The sequence below is a fragment of the Homo sapiens genome, chromosome 7 (assembly GCF_000001405.40).
Source record: "Homo sapiens chromosome 7, GRCh38.p14 Primary Assembly".
Lineage (NCBI taxonomy): Eukaryota > Metazoa > Chordata > Mammalia > Primates > Hominidae > Homo > Homo sapiens.
Genome location: NC_000007.14, coordinates 106,274,841 through 106,288,569, shown reverse-complemented (window position 1 = coordinate 106,288,569; position 13,729 = coordinate 106,274,841). Strand labels below are relative to the sequence as shown.

The 13,729-nt window shown below is 41.0% G+C and overlaps 1 protein-coding gene and 1 long non-coding RNA gene across 4 annotated transcripts in view, besides 2 other annotated features; one reads left to right on the top strand and one right to left on the bottom strand.

Annotated features, from left to right (window-relative positions):
• Nucleotides 1-2,243: 2,243 nt before the first annotated feature.
• Nucleotides 2,244-3,324, bottom strand: NAMPT-AS1 (NAMPT antisense RNA 1). The gene has a single exon (NR_186647.1). It is a non-coding gene; the product is annotated as an NAMPT antisense RNA 1 (long non-coding RNA).
• NAMPT (nicotinamide phosphoribosyltransferase) overlaps nt 2,682-13,729 on the top strand; it is a 37,591-nt gene continuing 26,543 nt past the window's right edge. For 2 of the 3 annotated variants that reach the window (NM_005746.3, XM_047419700.1), the window contains exons 1-3: nt 3,587-3,742; nt 11,391-11,547; nt 13,521-13,624. In NM_005746.3, the coding sequence (NP_005737.1) occupies nt 3,686-3,742; nt 11,391-11,547; nt 13,521-13,624 (318 nt within the window). In that variant the 5' untranslated portion in view covers nt 3,587-3,685. Of the gene's footprint in view, nt 3,030-3,586; nt 3,743-11,390; nt 11,548-13,520; nt 13,625-13,729 lie in introns of those variants that run through there. The other variant, XM_047419699.1, reaches the window with a different exon arrangement.
• Nucleotides 3,088-3,627: a silencer, noted in NCBI's record as "silent region_18533". NCBI's record gives its function as "represses an Ori minimal core promoter by ATAC-STARR-seq in GM12878 lymphoblastoid cells {active_cell/tissue: GM12878}" and the evidence as "EXISTENCE:reporter gene assay evidence [ECO:0000049][PMID:35858748]".
• Nucleotides 3,898-4,257: a silencer, noted in NCBI's record as "silent region_18532". NCBI's record gives its function as "represses an Ori minimal core promoter by ATAC-STARR-seq in GM12878 lymphoblastoid cells {active_cell/tissue: GM12878}" and the evidence as "EXISTENCE:reporter gene assay evidence [ECO:0000049][PMID:35858748]".

Here is a 13,729-nt window from a genome sequence, read left to right as displayed (position 1 = left end):
GCAGCACAGTCAGACCACAAAGACACCATAGAAAGGGCATAATTACATTTTGCAATGGAATGTCTGTGGATAGTCTATATATGTGCACTCATTCTTACTGTGTGTGGATGACAGTTGCTCTATCATTTTTGTACATTTAGACGAGGACTCCATAGTTTCCTGTGCCTCTCTTTGTGTGATTGTACAGGCTTAGCCGACTGAGTCATTACAGAGTGTAACACTGATAAATCATTGAATCTGTGAAGACCGTGTCTTTCTGTGGATGAGGCCTTTCCCTAGGAAATTAAAACTCTGGGAGGTTCCCAAAGGGCCTTGGAAGTTTGAATAAGAAAAAAAGTCCAAGTTTAATTTTTAAAAGCTCTCTTTTTCACATTTGTCTTTGTGACAACTGTTGCTAATTGGCGAGTCTAGAGGAGATTATAAAGGGAGATGGATAAGACCATCGTCAGGGGTTGCAGGTAGGTGAGTTCCATACCTACTTCACCAGTGTTTTTTACTGAGGTCAAATCAGGTCAGATTGGAGTATCTGAGGCAACTTTGAAATATAAAGGTGCACCCGAGGCTGTCTGCAAGGGTGTGTGGCAACAGGAGTGGCACAGATACACTCACTTTGCCTGAACAAATATATGAGCCCTAGGTCTTTCATAGCACTCTGAGGGAGGGAGACAAGGAGCTGCATGCCCAATTGGCAGTGCCTGATTGCTATTTGGTAGGATGGTATAATAATCCAGGGCTTTGAATCAAGTGAGGGGGCCCATTTGAGTCTATGTGTTATTATTTGTCATGTTGTTGTGACCTATGAAAAACAGTTTCTCAGGTCCTCTACATGCTACAACCTCCCCGGGCTCAGGCAATCCTCCCACGTCAGTCTCCTTTCAGAGAAGCTGGGACTACAGGCACATGCCACCACGTCCAGCTAATTTTTGTATTTTTTGTAGAGATGGGTTTTCACCATGTTGCCCAGGCTGGTCTCAAAATCCTGGGCTCAAGTGATCAGCCCGCCTCAGCCTCCCAAAGTGCTGGGATTACAGGTGTGAGCCACCACGTCCAACCTTAATGCTAGCTGTTAAACTGTCTTTCAGGGGAGGCCATTTTAAAATGAAATCTTGGCTCTGTTTTCAGTGATAATTTCATAGTTCTAAACCCCAATTAATTCTGAATTGCTCCAGCTTAAGCATGTAGTTACATAGAGAATGTGCCTATTTCTATCTCAGGCAAATGGTGATTGTCCTATTGGTAACATGACTTCATTGTCATTTTTTTTCTCTGGAGACTACTGTGAGGATTCACATTACTAATACTTGTGCAGGCCTCACTCCTTAATTTAACAAGCAATGTCAATACAATATTTTTTCTTTGCACAGATATAAGACCTTTTTATTTTAAAACTGCAAATTCAACTCAAAGATTGCAAGATCAAATTTTGCATCTTAAAAAAATACTACCATAAACAAAGCCCACATTATAATCAGAATCCTACTTTCTTTTCTGCATAAAGCAGCATAGAACAACGGTCATTTATAGATACATGAATTCCAGGAAGCTAAACAAATAAGAATTTGTACTATAAGTAAAGTAGGTTATATAAATTTTAAATGAAGGAAAAAACACCAAATTAAGGACAAAAATTATCTTTTTCCTTCTTTGAATTGCACTCCTTGAAATAATATAAAAAAACTCCCAAAATCAAATATTAAAAAATAATTTGTTTAGGCCGGGCGCGGTGGCTCACGTCTGTAATCCCAGCACTTTGGGAGGCCGAGGCGGGAGGATCACGAGGTCAGGAGATCGAGACCATCCTGGCTAAGACGGTGAAACCCCATCTCTACTAAAAATACAAAAAATTAGCCGGGCGTGGTGGCGGGCGCCTGTAGTCCCAGCTGCTTGGGAGACTGAGGCAGGAGGATGGCGTGAACCAGGGAGGCGGAGCTTGCAGTGAGCCGAGATCCAGCCACTGCACTCCAGCCTGGGCGACAGAGCGAGACTCCGTCTCAAAATAGAAATAATAATTTGTTTAAATGCGTTTACAAATAATTTTCCCCGGTAAAACACAGGGAAGATCAACCAATAAATACATAAGCCCTCTTGTTTCAAACCTCGTTGCTGAAAATAATTGTAAGTGTACTAGTATTTACTACATTGGTGAGTGCCTGGTGATACCTTCCACTTCCATGATCTTTGCCCTGTATTGTATCTACGTGTAGATGAGGTGATTGTCAAAAATATATACTGACTTCAAGACATAGTGTTGACTGAGGTTGTCTTTATTAGAAGTCTCAGCCATGCCTCCAGTTTCGAGATGAATCTCAATTCACAAGTTCCACTATGAATCTCAATTCACAAGTTCCACTACCACCACCACCATCACTGCCCCCAGATAGAATGAGACTTCTAATAACTTGAAAGACAAGTCTATAAATATCCTGTAATCGTTTTCACTGTATCACTTTTTCCTGGCTACTTTTATCCGATAAAAACCTCAATTTATTTTTAAGCTATTAAACATGCGGACAAAGGGAATCTTAGTTTTATGCAAAAACGCAACCACGCATGAGAACTGCGCAAGTCTTTCTTGGAATGGTCTGTATTTGGGTGAAGTCATCAGACGTCATTACACTTCTTTATTTTGGGGTTGCCAACTCGTTTCCCAGGATTTAAAGACTATAACGATGATAAAAGTCAGTGTCGCACCCTGTCAAAGGCTTGGCCCGTTGCCTTTTCCTTCCCGGCAATACTCGGTTCAATTAGGTCTTGTCCCCTCATTATCTGTGAGGACTGAATTCCACCCCCGCTTTTCAACGCAGGCTCTTTGCTCGGGAAAAGTCAAACCATCTCTCAAAGGATCAAAGAGCTCAGCCATAGACAGAGCCGCCGGAGGAAAGCGGAGTCGCTGCATCAGATGAAAGGGGCCCCTCAGCCTCACTCCTCACCGCAGCTCCTGGGATCTTAAAGACAGGGTCAGGAGGATCAGGAGGGACAAGAGGGATGGAGGCGAAAGGCTGGATCCTTAATCCAGGCCGGAGACAAAGGTGAGTAACTGCGCGTGGTGGACGGGAAGATGGGCAGTAGGAGGCTCCTCGCCCCCTAGCCGGGTGGCGTGACTTCAGGAGGACCCAGAAAACCGGCCAGGACTGGGTAGGACGGAAGGTCCCAGGCGGGGCGGGCGAACCGGCTCCTCGTGGCACTGGCAAAGCTGGGAACGCCCCCTCCAGGCCCCGCCCTCCCGCGCCCGTGCCGGGAACTCGAACTTAGGTAAGCGCCCGGGTCACGCGCCGGGGCTGCCCCGCTGCCTCCAGCTTCCCAGAGCTGGCGTCTGGGAGGAAGAGCGCGTGCATCACGTCCTCCTCCCCGCCCCGCCTCCGCGCACTGCGCAGCGCGCTGCCGCGCCCCGCCCTTTCTCGGCCCCCGGAGGGTGACGGGGTGAAGGCGGGGGAACCGAGGTGGGGAGTCCGCCAGAGCTCCCAGACTGCGAGCACGCGAGCCGCCGCAGCCGTCACCCGCGCCGCGTCACGGCTCCCGGGCCCGCCCTCCTCTGACCCCTCCCCTCTCTCCGTTTCCCCCTCTCCCCCTCCTCCGCCGACCGAGCAGTGACTTAAGCAACGGAGCGCGGTGAAGCTCATTTTTCTCCTTCCTCGCAGCCGCGCCAGGGAGCTCGCGGCGCGCGGCCCCTGTCCTCCGGCCCGAGATGAATCCTGCGGCAGAAGCCGAGTTCAACATCCTCCTGGCCACCGACTCCTACAAGGTAAAGCTCGGGGCCCGGGCAGATGAGGAGGAGCGGGGCGCGCTGGGGACGAGCGCGCGGCAGGGGGGCGGGGGCGGCTGGGGCTGGGGTTGGGGCTGGGGCTGGGGCTAGGGTCGCGGCGCGGGGAGGCCCGGGGGAGGCGCGGGCGGCGGCGGCTGGGGCAGGTGAGGAGGCGCCGCAGTGGGCAGGAGGTGGCTTGAGGAGGATGGAGGGCTGGGCGGTGGAGGCGGGGCCTGGGGGCGCGCGGCGGCGGCGGCGCGGCGGGGGGCTGAGGCGGGCCCCAGCGGACTCCCGGGCGCCGGTGCTCGGGGCTCGGGGCTCGGGGCTTGGGCGTCGCCGGCGAGCGCATGCCCTTCCCTGAAGCGCGGCCTCTTGGCCTGGAGCTGGGACCAGTTAGGTAACGGCCCCGGGGACCCGCAGTGGAGAGTGAGCGGGGCTTTCCCCCGGGCCAGCCCGGCGCGCTCGCCCCTGGCTGGGCAGGTAAGTCTCCCGGGGCGCGAGGTGGGAGAAGTCCTGGCGCGGGCGCCGGAGCAGCCGCGGTCCTCTGCGGCTCCGGCGCGGAGGACACTCGCCTGGCCCCGGTAGCCGTAGTGGATTCCCCTGTCCCACTCCGCCGGGCTCCGTTTCAAACTCCTTGGCACCTAGTGATTGCTCGTGCTCCTTATCCCTGGGTGTAGAGGCCGCTCTGCTCTTATCTGCTTTAGGGTCATTACAGGATTTCTGTGAAAAGGAAAATGAAACACGAGGATTTAAAGGAACTGTAGTTTTAACCCTAGAGAACATGTGGAGAGGGAAATGGCACAGCGTTGCGTTCACATGCCCATTGAACACTTGTGTGGGTAGCTGCCACATTCAGTTGATATGAAGCACGCAGTAGTGAAGGGAAGAGGTAAAGTAAATTTTACTTGAGCAGCATAGTGGTTTGGAATACAGTGGTAAAACATAGTACTCTCATGTTTTTGTTTTGATTCTTTTTTTTTCCTTTGTTTTTAGCCCTCCTCCGATATTCCGAGAAAGTATTTTAGAGAATTCCATTTTACTTAAGTTTTGTCTGTTTTTTTCCAATCAGCTTAAAATGCTGTTTATGATATTTAGATAGGTTCTTGAAATCGAGCCAAGATCCATCAACAAGTTGTCTTTTAGATGCAAGTTTAAAGTATTGCAAAATCCGAACACTATCAAGTATGATTCTTGAATATTGTCAAGTATACGTGATAATACCTCAAGTATGGTCCTTTACTTGGTCCTAAAACCTCCTCTTGTGTTCTCTTGGTTCAATCATAGTGTTTTCAAAATTTTAAATAGTGATTTTAGAATAGCCTCATTGATAGTTTTGTAGAATTTTTTTCTTAACTAAATCTAAAATAACTGTCAGATTTTTTTTTTACATGTTAGCCAAATGTAAAGGGAGGTTGAATAGTCTAAATTTTAAAAACAGAAGAATGCAACTTCCTTTAGTTTGCAGTTCCTCTAACCATTATACATAAGGAATGTAAAATTACTTTAACATCAGTTTTCTGGGGTGCTTTTAGTTAGAATAGTGAATTATCTTAAAGGTTTCTAATCTAGTGAGCCATACTTAATTGCACTATTAGAATTTGCACCTATTTAATAAATTTTACTTCTGTCAACTTTCAAGTCAGACTGGTGTGTTTTATATCCTTTATAATATGAAACTTCAGAATATTTTCATCTTAGATTTTTCATTTTTTCCCCAAAAGTCACCTCTAGAGGGTTCAATCAAGTCGATATGTTTTATACCAGTGGCTTACCGCAGTATGCTAAAATAGATTGTGTATTCCACAGTCACATTTAAGTCTTAGGTTTCATTTCCCTTATGTTTTTAGGGGTCCTTATAACCTATTTTACATTTTTGTCTTTTTATCTTAGGAAAAAGGACAAAAATGATAATCTTGAGGTTAGAAGTAATGAAACTTATTTAGAAATTACACGAGAATGTTACATATCCTTATCAGTGCTTACAAACTATTGGCCAAAGTTGGGAACTCTAGTAGTTTCAGATGTGTTGATGAAGAGAGCAAAATATTGTTGATTTCTTCTTTCTAAAACTGAAGAAAGAATAATTGATTGCCTAAGCACTACGAAAGTTATTTTGCAAGTAGATGGTATGGTAGCAAGCACATGACAATGGGAGTTTTGTTTTGTCTTGTATCCTGTCAAGAGAGTCCAGAACTATTTGGACCAAAGGAGCATTTGAAGTATATACATTCACTTCTGTAAACTCATACTTTATTGTATATAGTAAGGAATTAAGGACACTGACGACTGTGGTTCCTCTATTTTCATCGTGGTTCTTGTTAGAAGTAAGGACACCGTTTAAACCGCATTATCCATTAGTTATGAAATGTGCTGTCCGGTGTAGGTTGCTTCTCAAAGGGTCATCTGTAAGCTGGTTATCTAGAATTCAGCATATTTTTAACCATTCATTTAATAAATGTTGGTGACCTATTGGGTATTATAAAAGAAGACAAAGATAAGTAGTATTTTGAAATCCAGGAGGGACAGAAGTTGATTTTATAGAAGTTTCAAAGAGCTGTGAAATTTATATATGGTGATTAGGAATTCAAGGCAGCTTTTTTTCAAAAAAAAAGAAAATTTTGCTTCCTCTAATGGCCAAGTAACAAATTTTTGTTGCTTGTCTTTCACTGCTTCTGAGCGGATGCTTCGGTATTGTCACGGTGGCTCCTGAGTCAACCTGAGCCTCATGAGTGGGGTACTGTTGCAGCTTGTACCCCAGAGACTGCCTATGCATTCATAAAGATATATGTGACATTGTACATATATTTCAATTTTTCCATTATGTTTTGTTATATAGGAAAAACTTGAGCACCATAAATAAAATATATAAATCATGAATATACTTCATAGGGAGATTAATTTAGGTCATTAATAATTGAGCTGGTGTTCTCGTTGTGAGTTAATGAAATCTGGTTTAAAGGTGTGGCAAAAGAGATACAAGTCATTAGAAACTCCATGCAAGAGGTTTTAAGGGAAGAGGCAATATGATTATAGGTGATTTTGCAATTTCTCTCCTTCCCCAAATAACCCAAAATCCTTAAGTCATGTTTATGAGTGAGTATTGCTTCAAAGCCAAATAGCAGTGAATTATTTTTGGGGGCAACAGACAGATTTCCAGGGTTTAAGAAATCTTAAATAATACTGAAAAGAAGAATCGGTTATGGTTTTTGCTGTTTCTAGCACATTAGCTTTGAAGCAGCAGAAAGTCTTAGCCAGTGTTGGGCAGAGTGTATCCTCTTCTGATTGCCCTTAGATATTATATAGCTAACATAACTTGCCCTGTGACCTTGGGTATGTTATCCCATGTGATCTTACATATACAGCTTATTTTTTAAATGTTGACTTGTGATTTTTTAGCAGTTAAAAAGTATAACTGAAAAAGTAAGATAGTAGTACTTGCATTTGGTCATGTGATCCCATTGTGGGAGGAAAGATCTTCAAATCAACCCTAAGACATCAAATCAGCCCTATGGGACATCTAGAGAAGCATCTAGAGAAAACTAGGCTTTCTTTTCCCAAAAGGATTCTGTTCAACTGAAATATATGTGTCATATCTCATACTTTTTTAAAAAAACTGTCATACTTGGAACAAGGATATTTAGCCTTGGGAATCTAATTTTTTGTTACAGTTGGTTGGCCAGCACTCCTTAATGGAAACAGCTGTCCATCATTTGACTTAGGGCTAGACCGTTTTTGTTCTAGGCATTAAAATAATACCAGTTACTGTTATCTAGTATGTAATAATTTTTAGAAGTTTATCCTTTCATGAAGTAAATTAATCACACAACTGAAGAGTTATGTTAAAAGAACTACATTTTTCTGTTTGTGCTTATGTTTGTTTTTTTTTTGAGACGGAGTGTTGCTCTGTTGCCCAGGCTGGAGTGCAGTGGCACGATCTCAGCTCACGGCAACCTCCACCTCCCAGGTTCAAGCGATTCTCTTGCCTCAGTCTCCTGAGTAGCTGGGACTACAGGCGCGTGCCACCACGCCCGGCTAGTTTTTTGTATTTTTAGTAGAGACGGGGTTTCACCATGTTAGCCAGGATGGTCTCCATCTCCCGACCTCGTGATCCACCCGTCTTGGCCTCCCAAAGTGCTGGGATTACAGGCATGAGCCACCGTGCCCGGCCAGTTCTTTACCACATATGTATTGATGTTCAGATGGTGTTCTTTTAACAGCAGGAGGGCCATGCCAGTTTAGGAAGCATTTTCACTGGGAAGGTTTGCTGGGATCTTATTAGGTATTTTGTTTGGTTTACATCTACGGAATAATTTTGTATTTATTGTAGAACCATTTTCTTTAGTAATAGAAGTCAAGTCAGTGCTAAAAAAGTTAACATGATTTAAGAGCTTTCTGTGTTAACTTTAGAATACTATGAAACTTTTTGTTAGCGTTACTTAACATTTAAAATTGAGCACTTCATTTCCCTACCATTTGATAGCCTTCCCCATCTCTATAAATGGCACTCTTATTAATGCAGTTGCTCAACCAAAAATGTGGGAGGTATTAATTCTTCTCCCTCATTATCATCTTCCACATCCAATTTATCGGCGTAGTTCCCCTTTACCTCCAAAAACACTGGGCAAATTCTCCCATCTAACCTAATAGCCCCTAACTCCTGCACTCTTTGGTCACCCTATAATCCATTCTTATCCACCACTAGGCTAATCCTTTTAAAAGGTGAATCATGTCATATTCACCCCAGCTTAAAACATAATGGCTTCCCATTGCACTTGGTATAAAATCCAGGCTCCTTGGGGTAGTCTGTAAGCCTTACATGATCTCATTTCTGCCTACCTCTGACCTTATCGTGTTCTTACTGTCCCCACCCCGCCCCCATACTTTTAAGTACCTACCACATTGGCCTGCCTTCTGTTCTGTCCCTTATGCCAAAGCATTTCCTGTCTCCTTGTCATTTAGGTCTTGCTCACATGTCACCTTCTCAAAGAAGTCTTCCTGGCCCCCTCTAGCCCATCATTCTCTTACATTTTCATAGCATCTATCTTGATCTGAAATTAATATATTTTTTTTCTTCCTTCTTCAGCCCTTATTAGTCCTTTGAAAATAGAGACCATGTCATTCTATTTACTTTCTCATCCTCAGTGTCTGAAGTAGGTACAGAGTATGTATTTGTGAATGAAGTATTTATAAAATAACAGTTGATTTGAATTTATGCTATATCATCCAATTTTCTGGTGAAGGTTCAAAATGGCCTGTTTAGTAGAAAGTAAAATGAAGAGGACAGTAAGCTAGCAAAACTAGAATCATTATAAATCCTTTTGACTACATTGTTAGAAATACTTTCTTAAAAAGCTCTGCTTTAAAAACATTTTCCCATTAAACAACATGTACATATACCCCTATAAGTAGACCTAAACATGCTCTGTATTCTTCTGTAAACTTGTTGGGTGTTAGTAGATAGTTAATAAATGGTGTTTCTTGGCTAATTACCTGCGAGTTTGCCTAGATAACTTAGATGCGTTAGCTATATTCTAAAACGATACTCTTAAGGTTCTCCAAAGATTTTTAGAGTTCATACTTCGTTTCTAATTAAGCAGTTCAGACATTTTTGTATTTTAAATGGTATTTGTTTTCAGAGAAGGCATTCTAAGTAAAGGTAGGTTTTTAAAGTACTATAATTAGAGAACATAGCTGAAGCTTTAAAATTATAAATATTTAATTATTGTCCAGAACTGGAGCTGTATTTGTACAAAGAACATTTTCAGTATACTTTTAGACCAAGATACAGAGTTAAATAGCTTAGAGACATTTCCATTTTGCTTTTGACTCTTCGTCTTCTCAGAAAAAGAAAATAACTTGCCTTCTAGTAATTTTAAATCTGATAAAGAATGCATCATTAAGTACCTGAACAGTAAGGGTCAAACTGTGGAGAAATAAAACTATGAATCAGACTTACAAACTTGTGCTATAAGATCCACACCATTTTTCAAGTTTTACTTCATCGTGTGTGCTTTTCTTCTATCTCACTACTTAGTCCCACTAAAGAAGTTGGAGTTATTTACATTGTAAACTGGACATTTTCATTTTTACATACATCTTGGGTGTGTTTTTAGGTAGAGGTGTCTTTTTCTTCAGTTTCATAAGTAGTTGAGGTAGTGGTCATATTTATTACTACAGACTCATTCATAAATATATTTGTTTTTGCATTTTAGTGAATTGACATAAATTTCATTGCTGCAGATTCTGTATTAGCTATCTTGCTTAGCTACTTCTTAAATTTTATTAAAGTGGGATCAGTCCCTGGATTCTAACCTTAATAAGCCCTGACATATACTTCTAGCTTTTGATGAGTCTTCCCTGTACCTTTTAGTATATCACTATCTGTTGTACTTAAGGAAAACAGCTCCAAGTCTCCTGCTTGACTTAAACTCTCAGATCACTTGTTACTATAAAGATTTACCTCCAAGGTTGTCTGTGTGCTGCATTAGGGGCTATTTTTATAGAGTTGCAAGTATGCTACCATTGGCAAGGAAACAGCACATTCATTCAGAATCATCAATGGAAATATATTCATCTTAGGATTCTTGTACTAAGCTATGAAGATTCTTGAGGATAGAGCCAAGTTTTACTGAGATTGAGACTGTGTACCCAAAGACAGCATTGGCTTTCCTGAACTTGAGATCAAAGCTAAACAGGAAAAATGATTTATGTTCACAGTGATCACTCATGAAAAATGGTCTGCAAAGATTTATTCCGCCATTGCCATGATTCACCCTGTATCTTAAACCTCAAGGCACTGTTATTCCTACTCTTGAAATTGGGCAGATACACATTATTCTTCCACTTTATTTTTTATTGGTAAAATGTTTGAATTTATTTCCATGTTTTAACCATATTAAAAGTATAATGAACACTCACTTTTTACTTTTTCTTTCTTAAAAGCAGATAAATTTTTTACATGGTGGCTCTTACCCAAGTTCATGGAAAAGAAATTTGTGCTAAGGAAGACCTCTTCGTATTTTAAACTCATAAGGATTTGATGTTTAAGAATTTATTTTCCAGTTAGGTGGGTGATTTGACAAAGGGAGATTACAAAACAGGATTTTTTTTTACTTTGCTGCTTTACTTTGCTGCCACCGCCGTTGCTGTCATCCAGGTTTTCATAGTGTCACTGTGAAGGCTAAAAGTGATCATCCTCAGTACCTCATTGTACAAGTAAAGTAGTCATGTTAAGTCATTGACTTTTGGAACATACCACATTGAGATATTAGCAGTACCAAATTCTGCTGTCTTTCAGTTCATTCCTTTCTGTTGTGTGTGCCCATTAGGCAGCTGCTTCTCTCTCTCTTCGCCTGGATGAAGGACTGTTCCCCAAAACCAAATGAAATACTTTTCCAACCTAGAGGCCTTGTAGTAGATTTAGTGTGCTTGTATGTAAAATTTAACGCTCTCCTGTGGTTTTAAGATACTGAACTCTGAAAATATCTTAGATACTTATTTTTTATTTGGTATAGCCAGGAAAAGAAACTGGTTAATAGCAAACAAGAAATATAGTTTCTCTGGTTTTGAAATAACTTCAAGCCTTTTCTGTTGTGATTTATAGTCTACTCATCGGTGTTTTCTAACAGAAGTGTATTTCTTTACATAGGTTACTCACTATAAACAATATCCACCCAACACAAGCAAAGTTTATTCCTACTTTGAATGCCGTGAAAAGAAGACAGAAAACTCCAAATTAAGGAAGGTGAAATATGAGGAAACAGTATTTTATGGGTTGCAGTACATTCTTAATAAGTACTTAAAAGGTATTACTTTTCCTAGTATATTTTAAACACTGCTTATTACTCTTAACTCCTTTAGGAGTTCTTTTAGAATTTTTAACAAATCTGTTAATTTGGATGCATTAAATCATATAATTTGGTGTGTGTTTGATGTTCTAAGTATGAGAAAAGTTTTCTGAAATAAAAGGTTTTTTTTTTTTTTTGGAAACCGAGTTTCGCTCTTGTTGGCCAGGCTGGAGTGCAATGGCATGATCTCAACTCAGCGCAACCTCCGCCTCCTGGTTTCAGGCAATTCTCCTGCCTCTGCCTCCCGAGTAGATGGGATTACAGGCATGCACCACCACACCCAACTAATTTTGTGTTTTTAGTGAAGACGGGCTTTCTCCATGTTGGTCAGGCTGGTCTTGAACTCTCGACCTCAGGTGATCCACCTGTCTCGGCCCACCAAAGTGCTGTGATTACAGGCGTGAGCCACCACTCCTGGCCGAACTAAAAGTTTTGAAATAAGTTTAGAAAAGTCATTAATTTTTGGAGGCTAATCTTGTTTGTTATACTTTAGTCATTAATTCAAAGTAAAGGAGTTGTTAATGAACTGGAAACTCCTTTTGAATTATGGTAGCAATCAGAATATTTTTATATTAGCCAGTTTTACCTTGAAGACCTATTTTTAAAAACTACCTGTGTCTCTGGACTTAGTTGCAAATGCATATTAAAACAAAAATCCCCCAATTTCTGTGCTTTCTTATTTGAAAGGCCATTTCTAGGGGGAAAACAGTTCCCAAACACATTATACATGTTGGAAAAGTTTATCTCTAACCTTTTGAATTAAACAATTTCAGAATTGAAAACAGTAAGGTGAATTTTAGGCCAATAACTCTTTTCTATAATCTTGACTCTTTTAAGATTAGGCAGTTCAGATAGTCTTATACTACTGAAAACCTAGCTAGATATCAGAAGTAATTATTAGTGGCAAGAATACCAAAGTTAATACCAAAGTTTTTTTGTTTTGTTTTGTTTTTAGACAGGGTCTCACTCAGTCACCCAGGCTGGAGTGCAGTGGTGCAATCTTGGCTCACTGCAACCTCTGCCTCCCAGGCTCCAGAGATCCTTCCTGCTCAGCCTCTCAAGTAACTGGGACCACAGGCTCGCACCACCATGCCTGGCTACTTTTTTATAGTGACAGGGTCTCACCATGTTGACCAGGCTGGTCTCAAACTTTTGAGCTCTCAAGCGACCCGCCCGCCTTGGCCTCCCAAAATGCTGGGATTACAGACATGAGCCACCACGCCTGGCCCCAAGATACTTTAAACGAGTTTACTAGTTATCTTGTATTAAGTTACCAGCAACTGATAGCACACTTTAATTTAGTCATACAACTTAAGAACTTTGTAAAATATTACTCATTTTTAATTATAACTAAAATGTATTGATTACCTATTCTAGGCCAGCATTATTGTAAGTGGTTCGTATGTCTTAACTCATTTTGTCCTCACAAACATCATATAAGTGGGTACTCGACTTTTATCCTCATTTACGGATAAGAAAAGTTAATTAAAAGTGTGTTGTTTGGGGGGCAGACATTTAGTAATTGTGGAAATTACTGACTTACCAACCCTAAAGATGCCACATTCTTTACGAACGAAGTGAGACGTTTCATTTGGATGTAAGAAGCTTTTGAGTCATCTCAAAGTTGAAAAGTACCAAAATTAATCGAGAGAAAAAAATTAAGTTAATATCATTTTTAAAAGCTGTGCAAGTAATAATTTTTTCTATTACACATCTGCTTTTACAATAAATAAACATTTATACTTTGAGTTATTAAAAGTACAAATTCCTTTTCTGACTCTGCTGTTGACTCTGGGTGAGCATTTAACCTCTTAGTTATATTTTTAATCCATAGAATGGGTGAAATAGCCAAAGATATTAAGTCTGTGACAGTTCAGCAACTCACAGAATGCACCTTTAGAAATGTAAACAGGACATGTATATTCTTCTAGGTAAAGTAGTAACCAAAGAGAAAATCCAGGAAGCCAAAGATGTCTACAAAGAACATTTCCAAGATGATGTCTTTAATGAAAAGGGATGGAACTACATTCTTGAGGTAAAAGATGGTTTCATCTTTTGATCTGTTTTGGTTTTTCTTTCAGTTCAAAACTTCTTGCAAAGGAATTTGTTTTTGTTTTGTGTTTTTTGAGAGAAAGTGTCA